The sequence below is a fragment of the Homo sapiens genome, chromosome 9 (assembly GCF_000001405.40).
Source record: "Homo sapiens chromosome 9, GRCh38.p14 Primary Assembly".
Classification (NCBI taxonomy): Eukaryota; Metazoa; Chordata; class Mammalia; order Primates; family Hominidae; genus Homo; species Homo sapiens.
In genome coordinates this window covers 5,945,642-5,970,377 of record NC_000009.12, presented here as the reverse complement: position 1 = coordinate 5,970,377, position 24,736 = coordinate 5,945,642, and the positions used below count along the sequence as shown (strand labels likewise).

The 24,736-nt window shown below is 34.5% G+C and overlaps 1 protein-coding gene across 15 annotated transcripts in view; it reads left to right on the top strand.

Moving 5' to 3' along the window:
• BRD10 (bromodomain containing 10) overlaps positions 1-24,736 on the top strand; it is a 129,649-nt gene that overhangs the window by 38,105 nt on the left and 66,808 nt on the right. For 14 of the 15 annotated variants that reach the window (XR_007061251.1, XR_007061249.1, XR_007061250.1 and 11 more), the window contains exons 3-4: positions 942-2,359; positions 16,283-16,362. Coding sequence is in view for 7 of the 15 variants with exons in the window: in XM_011517760.4 (XP_011516062.1) it covers positions 942-2,359; positions 16,283-16,362 (1,498 nt within the window). In the remaining 8 variants the exon portion in view is untranslated. Of the gene's footprint in view, positions 1-941; positions 2,360-11,839; positions 11,952-16,282; positions 16,363-24,736 lie in introns of those variants that run through there. The other variant, XM_047422860.1, reaches the window with a different exon arrangement.

Below are 24,736 nucleotides of genomic sequence, written 5' to 3'. Positions count from 1 at the left end.
AACACTGTCACCTCCCTGCTTAATATATACTTATTTTCATTATGACTATTAAGTACTGTGTTGTATTCTGACATTTTCTGTATTTATGCATGATATTAATAATTTTAATTTTTAAGGCTGCACAATATTTCCAGTTTATTTCCCAATTTTAAAACAATTTTTTCATAGTTTTGTTTTTCTTATATAAAACTCGAGTTAACATTGGTAAGTACATAACTTTTTGCTTCTGTTGAATTATTTTCTTAGTATAACTTTCTAGGAATGGAATTATGGGGTCAGAGGATATAAATATCTTACAGCTTTTATGTGAAGTCATATTACTTCTAGAAATTACTGTAATCAAATTCTACTGTGCTTTCATTTAGTAAATGAAGTTGATATACATTATAAATTGAAGAATTTACCTTGAGGATAATTATGTCAGCAATCCTCCATCAAATTCAGACTGAAGTGATATGTGTATTTCTTCATCTGAAAAAAGCAAAATGGTACTGTTATGAGACACTTTGTACTGATATTTAAAACTAGGGCAGGCTGGGCACAGTAGCTCATGCCTGTAATCTCAACACTTTGGGAGGCCGAGGCAGGCGGATCACCTGAGGTCAGGAGTTTGAGACCAGCCTGGCCAACATGGTGAAACCCCGTCTCTACTAAAAAATACAAAATGTTAGCTGGGTGTGGTGGCAGGCACCTGTAATCCCTGCTACTTGGGAGGCTGAGGCAGGAGAATTGCTTGAACCCGCGAGGCAGAGGTTGCAGTGAGCTGAGATTGCATCACTGCACTACAGCCTGGGGGACAGAGCGAGACTCTGTCTCAAATAAATAAATAAATAAAACTAGGACAGTTGATTGCCTTTTTGGCTAAAGATAAATATACTTAAAATTTATCATTTTATGGTACCCTCTGAATAATAATAGTATAATTTGTTAAATTTCTTTAGGCTTCGGGAGCAGGAAAGAAAAGAAGCAGAAGAAGCTAGTCAAAAGGAAATAGAAGAATGGGAAAGAAAACTTCTAGCTCAAGCAGCTCCAACTTGTATGGAGACCATGTGGGAAATTCCAGCTATTGGGCATTTCCTTTGTTTAGCTCAGCAAATTCTAAATTTGCCAGAAATAGTCTTTTACGAATTGGAACGTTGTCTTCTGATGCCTCAGTGTAATGCTTTTCTATCGAAAATAATGACTTCTCTATTAAGTCCTCCCCATCGCAGACCTACCTTACATCGAAGACCTACTTTGCCTTATAGGACCTGGGAAGCAGCGCTGAGGCAGAAAGTACAACAGTGGTACACTGCTGTAGGGCAAACTGAAAATCCTGATAACTGTGCTGAAAAACTGGGGTTGTGTCCTCAGTTTTTTAAAGTTCTTGGAGAAGTTAATCCATTGGAAGAAAAACCTTTTCACGAACTACCTTTTTACCAAAAAGTGTGGCTACTTAAGGGTCTTTGTGACTTTGTGTATGAAACACAAAAGGAAGTTCAAGATGCTGTACTTGGACAGCCTATCCATGAATGCAGGGAAGTTATTCTTGGTTATGATTATTTGGAGAATGCTTATGTACATTTTCCACAGTTCTGTGGTGCAGATGTACGGATTTATAAACAGAGACCCTTTCAGGCCCCAGAATTTCCAATTCCACCCATTAAAATACAAAGAGTACCTCGGATTAAATTGGAGAAATTGAAGTGTGACTATGTTAGTACAAGTAATGGAGAACATAGATGTAGCAGAGATAGCCTGCCCTCTTCCTTCAAGAAAGAGCAGGAAAATAATTTTGATCCAGCTTGCTGTCCTGCTAAAATGATCTTGGATAATCATGACATCTCTGTTGAAATGGGAGTAAAATCCAACTATGAAATTAGAATTCGCAGGCCTTGTGAAATTAAAAAAACTGATTGTTGTAAAGAAAATTTAGAGAAACCAAGGAGTCCAGGGGAAGTTACTGGCTTTGGAGAGCCTCTTAGTCCAGGTGAAATAAGGTTTATAGAAAATCAGGAAAAATACGGTGAAGCTTCCAGAATAAAGATTGAACCCAGTCCATTAAAAGAAAATACTCTAAAATCTTGCCAAATACATGTAAATGGAAGTCACAGTGATCATCCAGAAATTAACTGCCACAAAGTTGTAAGGGATATTCTATTAGAGCAGTCACTACAGAGCCACAAGAAACTCAAACTAACTAAAATGAGGGCAAAAAAGAAGAAAAAGAAAAAAAAGAAATTGAAAGATGTTTTGAATGAAAACTTACAGAGAAAGCGTGAAGGTCTTCATTCTCTTGCATTCAAGTCTTACAAACCTGAGATCCAGAATAAGTTATTGATCATCAAAAAAAAAGCAAAACACAAGAAGCACAAATCTGGTAAGCTAACACAAATGGATGGGAGTTATATTTAAGTATAATTCAAATTGTTTTTTCCATTATGCATCATGGATGCTTTGATTGAGAGAGTAAAATGCACATGTATGCATGCGTGTATATTTGAGGGTCAAATTTTATTTTATATTCAATGTGTTAAAAAGCCAGAGCAGATGACATTTTATATACTTACAACAAAAAAAGTACTGATGCAGTATGTTTGAATTTAATTTTCAGTTGAACATGTTTGGACATTATGTTTTTACCTTTCTCTGGACCAATTTCTTTCCCATCGCTTATGAAATGTGTGTTTTTTTTTTTTTTTTTCAGGCTAAGGGCAGTACAGTGTAGTAGGAAAAGCACTGATTTCAGGAAGTAACATTCCCAGGACTAAAGTTCATAGCAACTAGCTGCTTAAACCAAGGGTAGTCAGATTATCTTCCTGGGTCTGTTTTTTCCCACATCATGTATTTTTCAGAACTATGTTTTCAGTATATATTTTTATATCAAGAAAATATGTGGAATATAAGAAAATTACATCAATTAATAAGACATGAAGCATATTTCTGTAAAAGGATTTGTAAATTTGTCTTTCACCAAATTTAAATGCCCTATATATTTGTCAACAGCCTATTTAAACAACAGAAAATTCTATGAAGTCTTCAGTGGCCGATTGCTCTGCTTTTGAATTTCTTAGGTGCTTTTGCTTTTCTTGTTGTCTGTCTTTTAAATCAGTTTATGTCTCATTTATCAAGCACATAAGTGAGATAAAAGCAGATGATCAGCTTTATTAACCCTAATAAGAAGTTGCTTGATTGGAAAAAAAAAAGGTGGAATTAACATTAAAATCTGGTGGCTCTTCATCATCATTGTTTGTGGATTTCAGCTTTTTATTTCTTTCTTCAGTAGCAAAAGTAAGATTTGGCAAAAATTTGGTAATGAATTGGAAAATAAGGGAATGAATCTTTTAGCTAATTGGTGTTATGTTTTAGTTATTTAAATCATTAAATACAATTGAATGTGTTTTAAAACATGTATATAATGTATCATTGATAAAGTAGTATAAAATATATTACCAAAAACAGGCTTAATTTAATGGACTGAAAATTTCAAAATGCTCCACATTGATCCAGGTGGTGAAAAACCACAATGTTTAAAAGTTACTTTTAGAAATAAGCCTTGTAAATTTTATAAGCGATCCATTTGTTTTTTATAAATTCAGTTTGATGAATTTGGCAAATTCACTTTGAAATGTTAGTCTCTAGGCTGGGCACGGTGGCTTACACCTGTAATCCCAGCATTTTGGGAGGCCGAGGGGGGCAGATCATGAGGTCGGGAGTTGGAGACCAGCCTGGCCAATATGGTGAAACCCTGTCTCTAATAGAAATACAAAAATTAGCTGGGCATGGTGGCATGCGCCTATAGTCCCAGCTACTCGGGAGGCTAAGGCAGGAGAATTGCTTCAACCCGGGAGGCAGAGGTTACAGTGAGCAGAGATCATGCCACTGCACCCCAGCCTGGTCAACAGAGCAAGACTCTGTCTCAAAAAAAAAAAAAAAAAAAAAAGGAAATGTTAGTCTCTAAAATATTAAATAATATTTTAAAATTAGAACTACTTCCCAACTCAATTATATAGTATATTATTAATATAATTGTAACCCAGAACCCTTTATTGTTTATTACACTTCTGTTCATATGCTCAAAGGCAATAAAGTGGTTTATAAAATAGACACTGCTGTAGATCAGAGAGAAAATTGGGAGGAGGAGTTTTGTATCCAGTTCTAGAAAAATGAATAGAAACACTTGGAAGGCAAATTTATAAATTGTATTCAGCAAGTACTCTAAGCCTTAGTTGAGGAGAGAAGACTTACATGCATGAAATAGAAGAAAAGAATACACTTGTTTGTATACTTATTTTATTCTCAGAGCAAATTTTAGGAAGTCAGATCTTAAGTGACAAAAATGTTTGGATCTGGTAGATGCAGTTTTGTCTGCTTACCTAGTTAATACTGGGTAAACATTGGCCAATTCCCTTTTTTCATCAGTTACTGAATTCCTTATTGATATAACAATGTTACATAAACTGTTATAATAACAGCTAAACATTTGTTTTATGTAATTTTCAGTCCACTTGTCTATCTGAGGCTTTACCCTGTTCTTCTTTATTAGGTGTGAGACGTTGTGGCCTTTCATAGTCAGTTCGGGGCATACCTTAATCCAGTCTTTACTTTCTCACTCTTTTTAAAAGTGAGCTCCATCATCATAGGTTTGGAAAATACTCCTCTTAAAGATTCACATTGTCCTTTAGTAGAGGTTCACAATTCATTTTGCAAAACTGATAATAGATTTGTTTTGAAATTCAGAAATCTTCAGATTTCAGAAGGGCATTATGGTGTATATAATGTTTAAGTCATCCCCAGTGGGGCTTAGGTTAAGTAATATCCCCAGTGGGAATTACTCCTGTAATCAAACATATAATCTCTACTGAAAAATGTATGAATTAGACTAAATAAAACAAAGACTAGAAAACCTTAAGTTGAAGTCAGGTTTTCTTACCATATAAATTATATTTGAGACTTTGAGTTTTCAAAATCTTCTGAACTTCTAAATTGTTAAGTTATTCTGGGCCTGTTTATTAAAGACTCTGGAAAGTCTTGAAGAAAAGAAAACTGCTTAATTTTGTTTAACGTAGTGTTTTTTTTTTGAATTTATTTTAACACAGCTTTTTTTCGAGTAATGATTACCGATAACCTGTGTATTCTGTAGAATACGCTTTGGGATGAGCTGTGTCATTCATGACTGATGTATGAACCTTCACTTAGGGTGGACTAAGTTCTACATGTGGTTAATCTGGTCTGTTTTATGTTGTGTAATACAGGCTTTAATTTTTGGTAGTATCTCCAAATTTAGTAAGCCTTCTTATTGTGTTGGCAGGTGATTTTTTTTTCTTTTTTTTTTTTTTTTTATTATACTTTAAGTTTTAGGGTACATGTGCACATTGTGCAGGTTAGTTACATATGTATACATGTGCCATGCTGGTGCGCTGCACCCACGAACTTGTCATCTAGCATTAGGTATATCTCCCAATGCTCTCCCTCCCCCCTCCCCCCACCCCACCACAGTCCCCAGAGTGTGATATTCCCCTTCCTGTGTCCATGTGATCTCATTGTTCAATTCCCACCTATGAGTGAGAATATGCGGTGTTTGGTTTTTTGTTCTTGCGATAGTTTACTGAGAATGATGATTTCCAATTTCATCCATGTCCCTACAAAGGACATGAACTCATCATTTTTTATGGCTGCATAGTATTCCATGGTGTATATGTGCCACATTTCCTTAATCCAGTCTATCATTGTTGGACATTTGGGTTGGTTCCAAGTCTTTGCTATTGTGAATAATGCCGCAATAAACATACGTGTGCATGTGTCTTTATAGCAGCATGATTTATAGTCATTTGGGTATATACCCAGTAATGGGATGGCTGGGTCAAATGGTATTTCTAGTTCTAGATCCCTGAGGAATCGCCACACTGACTTCCACAATGGATGAACTAGTTTACAGTCCCACCAACAGTGTAAAAGTGTTCCTATTTCTCCACATCCTCTCCAGCACCTGTTGTTTCCTGACTTTTGAATGATTGCCATTCTAAATGGTGTGAGATGGTATCTCATTGTGGTTTTGATTTGCATTTCTCTGATGGCCAGTGATGGTGAGCATTTTTTCATGTGTTTTTTGGCTGCATAAATGTCTTCTTTTGAGAAGTGTCTGTTCATGTCCTTCGCCCACTTTTTGATGGGGTTGTTTGTTTTTTTCTTGTAAATTTGTTTGAGTTCATTGTAGATTCTGGATATTAGCCCTTTGTCAGATGAGTAGGTTGCGAAAATTTTCTCCCATTTTGTGGGTTGCCTGTTCACTCTGATGGTAGTTTCTTTTGCTGTGCAGAAGCTCTTTAGTTGAATTAGATCCCATTTGTCAATTGTGGCTTTTGTTGCCATTGCTTTTGGTGTTTTGGACATGAAGTCCTTGCCCATGCCTATGTCCTGAATGGTCATGCCTAGGTTTTCTTCTAGGGTTTTTATGGTTTTAGGTCTAACGTTTAAATCTTTAATCCATCTTGAATTGATTTTTGTATAAGGTGTAAGGAAGGGATCCAGTTTCAGCTTCCTACATATGGCTAGCCAGTTTTCCCAGCACCATTTATTAAATGGGGAATCCTTTCCCCATTGCTTGTTTTTCTCAGGTTTGTCAAAGATCATATAGTTGTAGGTATGCGGCATTATTTCTGAGGGCTCTGTTCTGTTCCATGGATCTATATCTCTGTTTTGGTACCAGTACCATGCTGTTTTGGTTACTGTAGCCTTGTATACAGTTTGAAGTCAGGTAGCGTGATGCCTCCAGCTTTGTTCTTTTGGCTTAGGATTGACTTGGTGATGCAGGCTCTTTTTTGGTTCCATATGAACTTTAAAGTAGTTTTTTCCAATTCTGTGAAGAAAGTCATTGGTAGCTTGATGGGGATGGCATTGAATCTGTAAATTACCTTGGGCAGTATGGCCATTTTCACGATATTGATTCTTCCTACCCATGAGCATGAAATGTTCTTCCATTTGTTTGTATCCTCTTTTATTTCCTTGAGCAGTGGTTTGTAGTTCTCCTTGAAGAGGTCCTTCACATCCCTTGTAAGTTGGATTCCTAGGTATTTTATTCTCTTTGAAGCAATTGTGAATGGGAGTTCACTCATGATTTGGCTCTCTGTTTGTTGTTGGTGTATAAGAATGCTTGTGATTTTTGTACATTGATTTTGTATCCTGAGACTTTGCTGAAGTTGCTTATCAGCTTAAGGAGATTTTGGGCTGAGACAATGGGGTTTTCTAGATATAGAATCATGTCATCTGCAAACAGGGACAATTTGACTTCCTCTTTTCCTAATTGGATACCCTTTATTTCCTTCTCTTGCCTAATTGCCCTGGCCAGAACTTCCAACACTATGTTGAATAGGAGTGGTGAGAGAGGGCATCCCTGTCTTGTGCCAGTTTTCAAAGGGAATGCTTCCAGTTGTTGCCCATTCAGTATGATATTGGCTGTGGGTTTGTCATAGATAGCTCTTATTATTTTGAAATACGTCCCATCAATACCTAATTTCTTGAGAGTTTTTAGCATGAAGGGTTGTTGAATTTTGTCAAAGGCTTTTTCTGCATCTATTGAGATAATCATGTGGTTTTTGTCTTTGGCTCTGTTTATATGCTGGATTACATTTATTGATTTGCGTATATTGAACCAGCCTTGCATCCCAGGGATGAAGCCCACTTGATCATGGTGGATAAGCTTTTTGATGTGCTGCTGGATTCGTTTTGCCAGTATTTTATTCAGGATTTTTGCATCAATGTTCATCAAGGATATTGGTCTAAAATTCTCTTTTTTGGTTGTGTCTCTGCCCAGCTTTGGTATCAGAATGATGATGGCCTCATAAAATGAGTTAGGGAGGATTCCCTCTTTTTCTATTGATTGGAATAGTTTCAGAAGGAATGGTACCAGTTCTTCCTTGTACCTCTGGTAGAATTCGGCTGTGAATCCATCTGGTCCTGGACTCTTTTTGGTTGGTAAACTATTGATTATTGCCACAATTTCAGCTCCTGTTATTGGTCTATTCAGAGATTCAACTTCTTCCTGGTTTAGTCTTGGGAGAGTGTATGTGTCGAGGAATTTATCCATTTCTTCTAGATTTTCTAGTTTATTTGCGTAGAGGTGTTTGTAGTATTCTCTGATGGTAGTTTGTATTTCTGTGGGATCGGTGGTGATATCCCCTTTATCATTTTTTATTGTGTCTATTTGATTCTTCTCTCGTTTTTTCTTTATTAGTCTTGCTAGCGGTCTATCAAAGCAGTGTGTAGAGGGAAATTTATAGCACTAAATGCCCACAAGAGAAAGCAGGAAAGATCCAAAATTGACACCCTAACATCACAATTAAAAGAACTAGAAAAGCAAGAGCAAACATATTCAAAAGCTAGCAGAAGGCAAGAAATAACTAAAATCAGAACAGAACTGAAGGAAATAGAGACACAAAAAACCCTTCAAAAAATCAATGAATCCAGGAGCTGGTTTTTTGAAAGGATCAACAAAATTGATAGACCGGCAGGTGATTTTTAGTAGAAGGCACAAAGACAATTTGGTTGAAAATGATTTGATAATTTTAGCACAGTTTGAGGCAGTTTGGGTAATATTTAAGCATTTTAATCTGCTTTTCAGAATTGGGGTTTCTTTCCTCCTTTTTAAGTTTTGAATTCATTTTTACTCATTTAGGCCTGTTCCTTACTATTGGAAACATTATAGAATAAATAGAAGACAGTGGAAACAATATAATGTCCATTATCTCATGCTTGATCCTATGTTTTTATTCAATCATAGAAAAGAAAAATATGTCCTGGCGATTAGAAATTTTTCCTTGATGACCTGTTTTCAAAATTTAAATGTTTCTGAAAACTTTGTCATTTAAGCAAGACAGGCAAGATTAGCTGTGCATAAATTAAAAATAATTATTTAAGAGTAAAAAAAAACTCAGAGCAAAAAAAATTCAGATCATTTGGTTTTCTTTCATTGTTTTTTCTTATTATAAAAGCAGTACATTTTCTTTAAAGAATATAGAGACAAGCAAAAAGAATAGCCCTTTCCTCATTACCTAGTAAATGTTTATTCTTTTATCACTTGCTTAAGGAAGCCTCCCATTATCTTGTGACTTGTTAAAATTTTCCTTGCTGTTCATGCTTATAGCACCAGACACTTCTCCTTCGTAATACTTATTATAGTTGCGTTTACTTCTAGGTTATTTTGAGGATTGTCTCCTCTCTATTCTATAACATTCTTAGGGACAGAAGGATTATTTCTGGTTTTGCATCCCTGGCACTTTAGCAGATTGATTGATGCATTGTGTGGGAATATACTGAACAAATAAATGAACACATTTAATATGGTTCACCTAGATGTAACTAAAACTAACTCCTTAATATGTATCTTTCAACACTTTTTCAAAGACTATGTATTTTTGAATAGGATTATACTATACATACCATTTTAACAATCTGCTTTTTTTCCCCTGCGTATCAGTATACCATGAACATCTTTGGGCAATAAATAGGTCCCTGTAGCATCATTTTAAATGGCTGTGTAGGATCCTGTTGTATTTTGCAGTTAATTTAACCAGTCTCCTTATTGGACATTTTGGTTGTTTTCAATAATATACTATTATAGATTGTGTAGAGCAAGTAGAGTTGGCGAAAATGAATTAGAAATTCTAAAAATTAGGGGACTTTTTATAAAATCTGAAAAAACACAAAAAAGATTACAGACGCATTAACAGTTACAAAAAGCTTATGGTGTTTTAAGATACTTTCAACCAGTTCTGTTTGGAAAGTTTTCCCCCCTCAAATAGTCATTATTGTCTTTTCTTTTCTTTTTTTTTTTTTTTGAGACAGAGTCTCACTCTTGTTGCCCAGGCTGGAGTGCATTGGCGCATTCTCTGCTCACTGCAACCTCCACCTCCTGGGTTCAAGCAATTCTCCTGCCTCAGCCTCCCAAGTAGCTGGGACTACAGGCATGTGCCACCATGTCCGGCTAATTTTTGTATTTTTAGTAGAGATGAGATTTCACCATGTTGGCCAGGCTGGTCTCGAACTCCTGACCTCAGGTGATCGGCCCACCTCGGCCTCCCAAAGTGCTGGGATTACAGGCGTGAGGCAGCACGCCCGGCCAGTAGTTATTATTTTCACCCAAATCACTTTATGGTAGCACCTCTAAACTGACTAAAATGAATAAGACAAGTGGTCTTATTCTCTTATAGGTGAAAAAACTAAGTTAAAAAGTGGTCAGTGACCTCAAGTGAATAATAGTTAAGTACAGATAAAGACAACACAATAAAAGGTCAAGTAGAGAAAAAATCAATGTGCTGTGCTAGTCTGGGAAGGTTTTACAAGGGATGAAGGACTTTGAAGAATAATGGGAATTGGATAGGTGGAAAATGTTGAATAACACGAGCAAAAGCATAGAGGTATAATTAAGTGAGGTGTCACTGGAAGAAGCACAATTAAAGAAAACTTTTGTGGAAAAGTTGAGGTTTTAGAAGCTGTTCGAATGATAGAAGGGTGTCATTTTTGGGTGATCTTTCTAAGCATGTGGTACTATGTTAAATAATTGAATCAAGATTCCATTGCAAGGAATTGAGCTTGAAATAAGATATATCAGATGTGTAAAAAGTAATGAGCTGCTTTATAGGAAATGACTGAGAAGGTAATGTAATCTACAGTGTTTGATTATTTCCAGGCCCGTATCTGTGAAAAGGTTATTATATAGTTCTGTAGTGATAGCACTAGAGACCCTAACTACATGTGTCTTACGGAGAAAACTTTTAGCATACCAGCTGAAGATTTCAAAATATAAAGAGAGTGAAAGGATTTACTATACTCCATGTCCTTTTATTTTTTCAATCCTTCTACTTTTTGTCTAAAAAACCGAGTACTCATTGAGTGCTTATTGTATGCCAGGCACTGTTCTAAGCCTTTATACATGCTATCTCATTTAATCTTCATGAAGACTTCAAAAAATAAATATTACTATTATTCCCCATTATTACAGATTTTAGAGGTTTTTAAAAATTGAGATGGAGATTTATTTGTCCAAAGTCACACAGCTAGAGCTAGTAAGTGACAGGATTAGGAGAAAGGATCTTGCAAGATAATTAGGATACCATTAAAGAGCTATGAAAAGAAGCTGGCAGGGGTAAGATGAAGGGGTAGATGATAACTATAACGAGACAATTCTAAATCCAGGTAAGGATTGATTATGTGACTTTTCTATCACAATGATAGAAGAAAATTCTATTTTGAGAGAGATGCTGCAATAAGTAGCAGAATTTGGCAACTGATTCAATATTCTAAGTTAAAGGGTAAAAAGAAATGGGTGTTCAGGAGTTACTGAATTATGTGATAGCGTTAAAGAATTACCAGTATGATAAGAAATTTGCTTATAGGTAAGAAGAATAAAAGGAAAATAAACTGTTTTGTTAAGGTCAAATTGCTTACTTGAGATAGAACACTCCAGAAACTCCTAGAATATAGTTAGCTCAAGACATGCACATTTAGTAAATAAAAGACAAGTTTAGGCTCTAGTTCTGTGACTTTACATCCCAGGCACTTTGCAAATTCACTGTTTAATAATACAAATACCCTTGAGTTTTTACTTGCAACAATGATTAATATCTTAGTATTCATTTATTTATTAAGGTTCCTAAGGCGAAAGTACAGAGGGAGGAGTGAATGTGTTGGGATAATTTTAAAACATGGAAAGGCTAAATCTAGGAAAGCATTGAAGTACCTTTTTTTTTCTGTTCTTTTTCTTCCTCCTATCCCTCCCTGAGAGACAGGATCTCGCTATGTTGCCCACCTGGCCTCGAACTCCGGGGCGCAAGCCATCCTCTCACCTCCGCCTCCCAAGTAGCTGGGACCACAGGCGAGCTGGGATCACAGGCATGCACCACCACACTTGGCTTAAAGTGGAAGTCTGAGTATGAGTAGCCCAGAGGTCTGAGGAGTGAAGACAGGAAAACCAGGTGAAGGAGAAGGGTAAAGAATGAGGAATAAGAAACTGAGAAAGGGGAACTGAAAGGGGGATGATAATCACCTTCTTATGTAAAGAAATATGCCATTTCTTTTATAAAAGGCATATTTCCAGATTCTAGAAAACTAGAGTTTTATTCCTCAGTTACAGTATAAAATATATCTTTAGTTATAATTTTCCCTCTCAGGTTGGGCATTCTTTTCTTAAGTTGTTCTAAGCATAGTGTTTTAGAAAGCTTCATTAGGGTATACTTTTGTAACATTAATTACTAAGGTTTATTATTAAGGTTTATTAATGTTTCCTTATGCATTTTCCAGGTACAGGCTGACACTTTCTGTTTTAGGCTCAAGAGTGGTATTGAAATTCTGTGTATGTTTTAATTTGACTTCTGATTTCAGCATAATTATAGGTTTGAGAATTTTATTCTATTTTATATGACCAAGTAACTTAGGGCAGTGGAAGTAAAAGGCCTGGGATATGATCAAGTTGAGTGATAAGGGAAGGGAAGCCCACTGGTAGTATGTAACTTGCCCTGTATATATTTTGTCCTGAAGCAAAAACAGGTTACCAAATAAAGGCATGATTTTGTAGTATCTCATGCTCGATTTTTAAAATAATATTTAATTTTTTTGAAGTGCTGATGTTTTTACTGAAGAATACAGGAAAATTTATACTGAAATTGTTTTTTTCAGGATATATACTGAAGGTATTAAAAAATAGTAAATGTACAAATCATCCAACCCTAATAAAAAGGAATGCTCTGAACCAAACAGAAGCAGATTACATCCCTTTCAAAAATTTGAAAGAATGCAGTATTTTACCATAAAAAGAGTACAGCTTTGAAGTGAGACAGACCTAATTTCACATGTATGCTCCTAGTGCATATTAGCTACAGCTCCTCCATCAGTTTCTTTACCTGTTTATAGCCTGTTTCTTTATCTGTGATAAGTGAGGTAATACCTACTTGGCTGTATTGTTAAGATTAATTAGAATAACAAATGCGCAGTATGTCACTTGGAGCTTGGCACATGGTAGGAATCAATAAATGGTAACTTAAGATATTTGTGCAGTAGAATTACATAATGGAAGGAGCTTAGACTTTGTAGTTAGAATCCCTGACTGTGGTGCTTACTTACTGTGTGACACATGAGTGAGTTAATTAATCTTTTTGATCTTCAGTTATCCAGTATTACAGTAGAGTTATTACCTACCTGGGAGGGTTATATTGAGAAATAAATAAGTTAATTTATACAGACCACTTTACTAAGTATCTGACACACAGCAGGTTCTCAATAAATGTTAATCTTCTTACTACCACTACTAGGTCATGTTGAAACTCTTTGGTGAATTGTTTAAATTATTTAAAATCGTTGTCAGTGTTTTCTTCACTATAAAGTAGACTTAAATGGACCCTCAGAATTGTAAACAGTTACCTGCATCCCTTTTCCTACCCCCTAGACTGTTGGTGACATTTCTGAAAAAAGTAGGATTCTTGTATTTAGGGATCACTTCTTAGAACTTATGTGTGCTAAATGCTGTAAATACAGAGTGAATAATGTGATTTCTGTCACCAATAATTTACAGTATAGTAAGGATGACAAACATAAGAACAGACAATTACAGTACTCTAAGTTAAGTATTACATTCATTGATTTGTGTACAAAGTAGAGTGGTAGTTTAGAGGACATGCATAAGAAGAACTGAGATGGAGTAAGTAAAAAGAATTTAAAGAAAATTAAAAGATTTTCTGTTTAGGCTTTTCTCACCATAGCTTAGCTAAAGCTAAAGCAATAGCTAACATTTATTGATCACCTACCATGTGCCTAGCAGTAGTATAAGCTTTTGGGGTGTTATAACCCATTTAATTCTCACAGAGTAGGTAATACTATTATCCCTTGTTTTACAGATGAAGAAACTGCACAAAGAAATAAAGCAGTTTGCTCAAGGTCTTGTATGTGATAGCTGTTATACATGACCTCTATAATAGTAGGTGGTTGTAGCAGGCACTCAAACCCAGGTAGTTTAGTTCTAAAACTCAAGCTTATAACCAATATGTAACATTACCTCCAATTTCCTAATAACATTTAAGCATCCTAATGACGTGGTGAACTGAAATACCAAGTAACCACCTTAGCTTCTCAGTCCATTCAAATAGAGTAGCTGCTAGAGTTAACTGAGAATTTAGTACCTGTGTTTAGTGCCTGTGTAACAATAAGATGAAATTCATGGGACTATCAAGGGTGACCTCTGTTGTGCTTATAAATGAATACAAAATCAAATGGCGCTTTTTTTTTAAGCTAATCAGAGTAGGGCTGGTGGGGAGAGGTTGAGGAAGAATTTTATTTCCTCCAAATTACTGTTTTTATAAAACCTTCCCATACATAAGTCAGCAAGATCATTCAGTTTTTTCTTGTGAACTTTAAAAAATGGTAAAGGCAGTGTATAGAGGAAAGGCATCTTGGCATTCAAATTCATGAGCCCCCTTCAGCAATACTTATGGCACTCAGTTTAGGAATCAATTACTAGCTGTATTATAGAGATATCAAGAATTTAATCACTTCTCCCTGAGTATTGCTTATTTAAGCAGCCCACCCACTTACCTATCTTTGTAGGAGTATACTTCTGTTATAAGGTACTGTGTAAGCACAGAAGTAAATAACAATGGTGAATAAAGAAATATATGTTGGGTTATTTTAATTTAATTGAAAGCAGATGTCAAATGATACCCGTCAATACTTATTAAAATAAGACAGTTAAACCCCTGTGAACCTCAGCAACTCAAAATTTGCAGTTCAGTCATAGTATACATGGATTTCATTGAGCCAAAAGTTAGAAATTTTATAAATTACAGTTCTGCGATATGATTAAAAAGTAATACAAAAAACAAATTATAAACTGGAATTGTGTCAATTGAGTTGACATATTTCTTGCAAGATGATTATATTTATATAGGAAAATGTTTGGAAAGGAGCATTAGGATTATGTACAGCAAAGTTACTTTATGTACGCATTCATTTTCCCTTTTGAAAAAAATATTGACATTTAAGTGGATTTTAGTCTGCAAATGATTGTGAACTAAAAATGACAGAAAAGTATTGCTGAATATTTTTTGTGCCCTTGTGTAGATTGTAAGCTCCTAGAGGATAGGATTTTTCTTTTTTATAATTTTTTACTTCCTTGTTGTCCCCGTAGCTTGTACAGTGTCCTGTATCTAGTATTTGTTGAGTAATTAGCAGTTTGTTAATTGATTTTGCTAATTACAAATTGGGGGAAAACTTTTAATGTGTTTCTAACTAAAAATAGAATTTTATTTTATTATTATTTTTTTTTGAGACAGAGTTTCACTATTGTTGCCCAGGCTGGAGAACAATGGTGCGATCTTGGCTCACTACAACCTCCACCTCCCAGGTTCACATGATTCTCCTGTCTCAGGCTCCCAGGTAGCTGAGATTACAGGCACGCACCACCACACCCGGCTAATTTTTGTATTTTTAGTAGAGACGGGGTTTCGCCCTGTTAACTAGGCTGGTCTCGAACTGACCTCTGGTGATCCGCCTGCCTTGGCCTCCCAAAGTGCTGGGATTACAGGTGTGAGCCACCGCGCCTGGTCTAAAAATAGAATTTTTATGCATGTATGTATTTTTTTGTCACGTTAAATACAAAAAGTAGATATATTTCAGTGTATACTGTGAATTGGCTCTAAGTATGAGGTTTATTTTTTTCCAGTGGTTTCTGATTCCACAAATAACTAGGTGCACTTTAAAGGGAGATGTTTATCTTCTTTTAAAACTTTGGGTATTGATACCGCCAAGGGCAGCCTATTAGGTGAGTGCAGAGCTAAAGGAGTAGAAAAACTTTGTTACCTAAGCTACTTAAGGGGATTTTCACATTAGGCTGGCTAGAGACCATAGTCTTCAGCTGTAGTTCTTATGCAAGTTCCTGACTGCGAAGTCAATGTTAAAGGTAAGGTTTTTTTCCCTATGTAGTCTCATCTTAAGTTGCAAATGTAGATTTTAATTAAGCAGTAGTAATGTGACTTTTTTGCCTAATCTTGCAGTAGATTCTACCGTATAACACATTGGAGATGGTAATCGTTCAGTTCATATAAACATAAAACAGCATTTGTTAATATGTCTGTTAACAGGTAGTTAATAGTTTAATGTTTGCTTTTACTGGGGCTTGTTTTGATTCATCATTTTTATTTGACTCACTAGCAGCCATCTGTTAGTTACAATTTAACTTTCAAGGATCTGCGTAATTTGTTTTTTGTTAATGAAGTGCTATAAACAGCATTATGAAGGTTTTCTCTTTTAATCTTGAAAGGAAAAAAATCCGTCTCTAAAAAAGCAATCACAAAGAAGAGGAAAACTGTCATAAAGTCACCTACTGTACCAGAGTTTCAGGTAAATGTTTCAACTTTGTCTCGAAATTTTTCAATTTTTTGTTTCAGTGTTCATATCATTCCTCGAGAGTTTGGCTGAATTCCAAGAAACTGTAGCACACTTACTTGTAATGAAATGTTTCTGACAGTGACTTTTCTCCCTGCAAGTGCAGATGTAACCAAGATTTAATCTGCTAGTATTTCGTAATTTTTACCTCTATTTTTGTCTTTTAATAATAAAAACCCTTTTTTATATCTTAATCTCTACTAGTACATTTCCTAGAAGCAGTTTAATAGAAATAATATATATATACTATATAGTATATGTGTGTGTGTGTGTATGTATATATATATAATACATAAAAGCAAATGTGTGAATGAAACTCTTCCAAGAACAAATCATAATTTGGAGATGGTAATAGTGCCTAGATAGTTCGTTTTCATTTATTTGGGCACTGTAGAAATAAATGGTAGATTTATTAACTTGGAAAACAAATCTTTCAACTCTTAGCTGTATATGATCTTCAGAGAGAATATTAAGTAAAGGTTAATTGAAATGGTCTTTAAACATTTCTGTGGAAAGAAAAAGTAATTATCTGTACTGCCATATGATTAAGTGAAGAGTTTTTTATTTGTAGCTAATACTAAGCAGAGAATCTCACCCTAATTAATGCTTTTATTTTCTATTTTATAAAAGATGTATTTTCTTCAATAAACACTTTCTTTAAAAACGTCTTTGTATTCATGTGTCTAGTCAATTTTCAAAAGTTTTATAAACTCATACCTAATGACCAAAAGATAAAAGTGGTGTTCAGATGAATTTGTGAGTCTCAAGTCAAGTAGAGATGAAAATAAAGGGACAATAGCTATGAAAATATTGATAATATATAATGTGAGTTTAATAGTTAGATATATCTAAAAATGTGGACACATTCATTTTCAGTAAAAATTCTATTTTGGAGAGTGTTTTTATGGAAGTTACTAACTGGTAAAAATTTAACATTTTTAAATCAACAGTTAAAGAAAATAGACATGTTTTTCTCTTAGTACTGTAGAATAGAATATTTTTAATGATATTCTTAGGATGAATTACAAACATTTCTACAAAATCCTTTTATATATTATATAACCTTGGTTGCAGAGTAGTTAATAAAAAAATAACAATTTTACTGTTTACTTAGAGGCCTTTATACCACTTCTTGTAACATATTTTAATGCTTTAGTATTACATCATCACGCGTCCACTGCTGTCACACCTGTGTTTACTATTTCTCCGACTTTTGTTTTTCTCAGTCCTCAAAGCATCAGCCCTGGGAATGTAGATGTTAGAGCAAATCTGGCCCATTGTTAATATTTCCTCTATACCCATCTTAGTGAATAGACTTTTCCATATATTAAGTAGCACAGGCTGCATAGCCAGTGTTTTTTAAAATTGCAGTGGTATTCATTAGTGAGGCATGAAATCATTTTAGCAGATTGCATGACCAGTGTTTCTTTTTTAAGCTAACAAAATTAAACTAGAAAAGAAATCAGCACAATTACATATAGTAAGTGTGCTACACATAGCAGTGTGAATATGTACACTCACATATATTGTTTCGTGAAACTTTGGTTTCAATTGTATGTGTGTACACAAGGATATGCATTGTAAAATGTGTTGCTGACCATGGGTCATGGTCAAAATATTTTGCCAGATTGAGCTGTTTAAAATGGTCTTGGCCGGGCCCAGTGGCTCACACCTGTAATCCCAGCACTTAGGGAGGCCGAGGCAGGCGGATCACCTGAGGTCAGGAGTTCGAGACCAGCCTGACCTATATGAAACCCCATCTCTACTAAAAATACAAAAAAAATTAGCCGGGTGTGGTGGCATGTGCCTGTAATCCCATCTACCCGGGAGGCTGAGAGAGGAGAATCACTTGAATCTGGGAGGCAGAGGTTGCAGTGAGCCAACATCACGCCATTGCACTCCAGGCTGGGCAATGAGGGAAACTCTGTCTCTAAATAAATAAATAAATAAATAAATAAATAAATAAATAAGTCTCTTCCTGGTTCTCAAGGTGTCCTAGAGGGAGAGAAAACAGAGAGGGAAGAAGAGAGAGAGAGAGGATAGAGAGGAGTAATAGTCTCATGAAAACAGTGGTTCTTATGCCTAGTTTACAATATGAATACCACGGCATTACTCATAAAGAAACTTGGCAACTGTCTCACAGGGAAATAGATCATTTGCTTCAAATACACACATTAATAAAATAGGAGATAGTGCTAGTCACTAGTAAACTTTGCTGTTAAATGCAAAACTTAGTTTTGTCTCTCAAAATAATTTTATGTAGTGTGTTACTTTATTTGAGTCTTCCACATGTAAGAAGACTATTATATAATAAAGTGAATTCATTCCCTGCCCAAAAGTTCTAGCGATATGGTATTTAGCACCTCAGATTCTGTAAATTATTTGTTTTGTTCAAGGTGTTTTAAATATCACATTTCTAGCATTAAACATAAAAATATAGAAATATTTAGTCAGAAGATCTTCATATTATTCATTCTGAAATATCTTGCTTCTGAAAATAATGAACCTGTTTTTGGATAGATAATAGATCCCTTTTGTAAAACCTGACCAGTTTGCCAAAGGACCAGTCTTCTTTAAATTGACAGAAAGCATGCTTAGATAGAGATAAATGAAAGGGTTAAATTGTGAAGTTTTTTTTTTTTAAGTCCTAATGAGTTTTTAAAAATGTTTTGACCTCAGCTGCTTTTTAGTTTGACAATGTTTTTGTTGACTTTTTTTAAAGCTAGAACTTGAACTTGCCCCCCTATTTGCTTCAGAAAGAATCCATGTTTATATACACACCTAATATCTGCACCCAGGTTTAGAAAATAATCATCCTACTCCTATTTAGAGTATACACTGTGAGCATTCAAATGGTGGATTGGATTTGTATGTGTGGCAGGGTGGGGTGGGGGTGTGTGTGTGTGTGTGTGTGTGTGTGTGTGTGTGTGTGTGTACAGTCAGCCCTCTGTATCTGTAGGTTCTGCATCTGTGCATTCAACCTTGGATTGAAAATATTTTCTTAAATGTGTCCGTACTAAACATGTACTGATTTTTTTTCTTGTCATTATTCCCTAAACAATATGATATAACAACAATTTATATCACAACTATATTGTATTAGGTATTATAAGTAATGTAGAGATGACCTAAAGTATATGGGAGGATGTGTTATATGCAGATACTATACCACTTTATATCAAGGTCTTAAGCATCCTTGGATTTTGGTATCCGCAGGGTTCAGAGGTGAGTCCTGGAACCAGTACCCCACGGATACCGAGGGACGACTGTATATTGTAAAGGGTCTAACCAAATGTGTGCCACTTTTTCCTAAGAGTTATGTCAGTGGTTCTCAAACTTTAGATAGTATAAAAATAATGTGATACCTTTATTTAAAATGAAGATTGTTGGTTTCATCCTCCAAAAGACCTTGATTCAGTGGGTACCAGTAATCTGCATAGTGGTTAAACACAAGGGTTCTGCAACCAGGCTACCTACTTGGGTTTGAATGCCAGCTCTACCACTGATTAACTCTGTGGGGTAAGGTATTTAACTTCTCCATGATTCCAGTTTCTCATTTGTACAGTGGGGTAATAATAGTACCTTCCTTGTAGAGTTGTGAGGATTGAATGATACAGCTTACTGTTTTAGCCATTTTTATTGTTTTCAAATAAGCAGGTCAGTCGCTTCTGGTGAAAAACACTGAATTATGAATAGGAAAATCAATTAAAAATGGCATAAAAACATCTATTATTGACCCTTAGCACTCTTTCCATTTACTTAAAACCTTGAAATAAATCTTGGATTTGGTCTTAATGAAAGTGGCACATGATTAAGCCTACAAGAATTTGAAAAGTGGAAAACCAAGTAATAGTATTTGCATCATTATGTTTGATGAGAGTGAAAACTTACGTTTATCCCTGTTGTATTGTTATGATGCATTATATATTTGTCATGTAGGGGAAATTGTTGGATTTTTTAGTGATAATTATAGAATATTGGTGATTTAAGCTTTTATATCAACTTTAACATTTACTTACGACTTTGTTAAATTGGTAAAATTCTTTTTCCTTTATCTGTTTTGTAATCAAAGAAAGACTATTAGACTGAAAAGTGAATATCAGTTTTCCTAATAGTTACTTTTTCCTAAAAAGTCTTTTCATTTAACATTTAAGAGAGAAATCTAATGTTATATGACTTATCTTTTGTACATAATTATGACAGAAAGTTACAGGAAGTATTTTTAAAAACTAATGTGTTGAGTCTCAATAACATAAGTTTTAAAAATAATTTAACAGCCTTAGTTACCCTAAGTCTGCTTTTCAACAATAACCAAAAAAAAATCTTCCATGCAGTGTGCCCTTGCTCCCATTTCATATGCATGATTGATTTTAAAGGCTGCTTTGCAGAAGAACTCCAGAATCCAGCTGCTAAGACTTATATTACATTGTTTTCAAACATAAGAAAAAACTCACTGATCCTTAACATACCTCTGAAAAAACTATACTTCTCCATCTAACCAATGGAGAAACTAAGGGATAAGAAATAAAGTACTGCAACATAACAAATTGAAACCAAAATTAAAATTAGGGTTTTGTTGTTGTTGTTGTTGTTGTTGTTTGTTTGTTTGTTTTGAGACGGAGTCTCGCTCTGCCGCCAGACTGGAGTGCAGTGGCACAATCCTGGCTTACTGCAATCTCTGACTTCCTGGTTCAAGCGATTCTCTGTGGTTTCCTCTATCAGTGTGTCATCTTAGGTCATTTTACCTCTGTTAGTTTAATCAGCTTTTTAACTGCTTACTGTATTAAGATGTTTTGATTATATCATTATTTTGAATTGCTCCCTCTTAAAATGAATATTTTTAACCTCCGCTTTTTGTTTCACTTTTAACAGCAGGAGTTCTTCCCCCTTAAAATTAATATAGTTCTCCCTTAAAAATATATATAGTTCATTGAGAGAAACATCTGTGTTTAATCACATGGTTGTTTATCAGACTAATTTGGCTTTCATGTCACAAGTGATATCCTTATTTGCAAGTTTTTAAGTAGTCCTTGTTGCTGGTATGGTGATGATAAGAAATAAAAAGAAATTTTCCCATCTGCATAGTTTTAGCAGATGCCATTATAATTTTAGTTTAAATACAATATAAATTTTGAATTTATACCATGCATTTAGTATTTCACTTATTATTTTTATAATAAATTACAGGATCTTTTTATTAGAACGGGAGTGAATGTGTGATCCCTTTTGTCTGGACCTATTCATTTTTACTTTTCTACATTGTTTTCCTTTTGCTTTGCTTTTTAATATAATCTACCATATTGTTTGTATTTTTTAATGTTACCTTATGTCCTTTTTTGGAGCAAGTAAATATCTTTTAGACCTATTGAATTTCTATCCAAAGGACATAATTTCTAGTTTGAAGTATCAGTAAAGTAAGGAATGATTTATTATGTAGTTCTGAGATACGGTCATGGAGTTTTTTTTTTTATCTCTACAGGGCCTCCCCACTCCCACCACATACATACATTGCTGCTTGTTGAGTTGAAGAGAGGACCTTTTAATATTACCATTTAATAAAAATGAAAGCTTAGATATAAACTGAATCCTAAAACTATAATACAAGTTCAGTTGTTAGATTTCTTTATTTTTGTGTTGTTATAAAGACCCTTTTAAAAAGAATATAATATAGTAGGAGAAGTCCTGGGTTCTGTGGTTTCCTCTAGCAGTGTGTCATCTTAGGTCACTTTACCTCTGTTAGTTTAATTACCTTTTATATGAATTGGAGATAGGTCTCTTTAGCCTAGGCTAAGGCTTGGACAAATTACACATTTTTAGTCCCTTTCAGCTCTGAGATCTGTGATTTTGTAGCTCTGCCATGGATTATATTAAATGAAAGGTTAACTTGAGGGAGTGTGACAGCCTTGGAGAGGTTCTTGCTGGGAGATAAAACTCTTCTTGTAACCTCTGTGGCTTGACTGAAAACCTCCTCTCATAAGTGTTAGCAATGTGACCTGACTGTAATCTGAGCTGCTATGGAGTTTCGTGTTCACCCCTGCAGGCCCTGTGCCTCAGATACGTTTTTCAAATGCAAGATAATGAGAAGGAGGTTTTAATAAGGTGTTTTGCTTTTTTAAAAAAAAATCTTTGTTCTCCTTTTTTAAGTTGAACTTTATTTATTGGGTTGATTCTGTTTTTAAAAACATCATATGAAGTTGAGTTGAATGTAATGGCCACATATATGCCTTATTTTGGAGGCAGAAGAGAGGTAGTAGAGTTGTATATGACATCGAGTTGGCATAAGTCAAACTAATTGTGTTCCTATTCAGTTTTATAAAAGGTTAATTTGACTCTATATATTGGGTATATATATTAGGTATACATTAAATATACATATAGAGGGAATATATATTAGTTTTAATATATAAAGTATAAATTGTTATGTAGCTATTAACGTCATTTTAATATAACCTCAGAATAAATATTATAGCTAAAAATATTTTAAGAAACAATTGTCTTATCGTACATTTAATTCAATATGCCATTCCCTATTTGGAAATTAATCTTGTATTTTCATACTCATTAGCTCCATGGTACCAGAATGTTCCAGTAGCCATGTTGATTTATAATTCATAGTCATTTAGTACCTTACTACTCAAAAATGTTATTTGCAGGCAATACCTGGAAACTTGTTAGAAATGCAGAATCCAAGGTCTCACCTCAGACCTACTAAACAAAAAACTGTTTTATTAAGATCCCCATGCAATTCTTATGCACATTAAAGTTTGAAAAGTACTAATTTAGTACAGTTTACTAACTAGATACAGCCACTTGAAAGTGTTATTTTATGTAGCTCTTAAGCTGTGTGATTTCATTCGTGGTTTGGCTTCAGAACTGTGTTATCTCTTGCTTTAAATGGAACATAAATATCTGTTGACTTCATAACTAATTGATAATTAAGAGATCTCAAAATGTTTTAGGGCATGTTTAGTTGTAGAGGTATATGTCTTCATTGTTCCTGTAAGTTTCTATGAAGAGATAACTGTGTTATCTCTTCCTTTAAATGGAACATAAATATCTGTTGACTTCATAACTAATTGGTAATTAAAAGATCTCAAAATGTTTTAGGGCATGTTTAGTTGTAGGAGTATATGTTTTCATTTAGTTCTAGGGGTATATGTCTTCATGGTTCCTGTAAATTTCTACAAACTGCATGCAAAATATACCCTATTCCTTGTGTAGTGAGACAACTGAGATGCAAGTAAAAATTCCTCTGTGGTTTGCCATATGTGCAAATAAGAAATCTATGATTTGATATTAACAAGTACACCAAGTTCGGTGAAAGAGGTATAGCCATCCACCTGCAAGCTCTGGGGCAAATTTGACACCGTCATCATAATAGTAGATTATACTATGAAAAGTTTAGTCCTCACTGAATACTTAATAAAAATCCACGGTAGGGACAACATTGTTCCAAGTCTTCATAGTTACAATAGAAGTTGAAGACGCTCTCTAGTTCTAGACCCACTTACCTGGTTGGCCAGTCCACTGCTTGACCATCAGCATTTCTTTCATAAGTAAATTTGGCAAATTGGAATGTGTAGTTTCTAATAAATACCAGCTACACTGTCCCACTACATCATTGTATTATTTCTACTCTCAAATTGTTTAATCTGGGTTATTTAAATACATATTTTCCCTACTTGGTCAATTCTATGAATTTGAAATTATATAGATATTCCTAATATGTAATTGTTAATAAAAATTATCTGTGATCATTTTTTCTTAATCTCTTAGGTTGAACTGTCTTGCCATTTTTGTGGATAAAAAGCATATCAGCAATTTCATATGGTTTAACCTAATAGAAGAAATTTAAGGGGCTCTGTCTTATTTTTGTCACTCAGTAGCCACAAGGAATTATCTTGTTGTGACCCACTTTTGCTTTTATTGTTTTTGTTTGCTCTTCTAACAGAAGAAAGTGCCCTTTAGGAAAACAGTCCCCTGACACTGAAATTAATGAATGTATCGAACTTGGGGCTGATAAAAGCTAATGGTGAATTAGTAATTTATAAGTACAGTTTTTTTTTAATTATCACATGGTATAAACATTACAATAAGACTTTTCATTAATCTGAGATTTTTCCTCTCTATTCGGTTGTAGTTTTGTTTCAGAAATCTAGTTCTTTTTCGCAGTAATTTTTTTTAAATAGCTTAAATTATTTTAGGAAAAAAGTATATTGAATGAATTGGAGAAATTCAGTATAATTTTACAAAAACTAAGATGTAGTTACTAATATTTTTGTTACTGTTGTTGACAGTTCACTAAAACTTTAGTAATTAAACCAAGCTA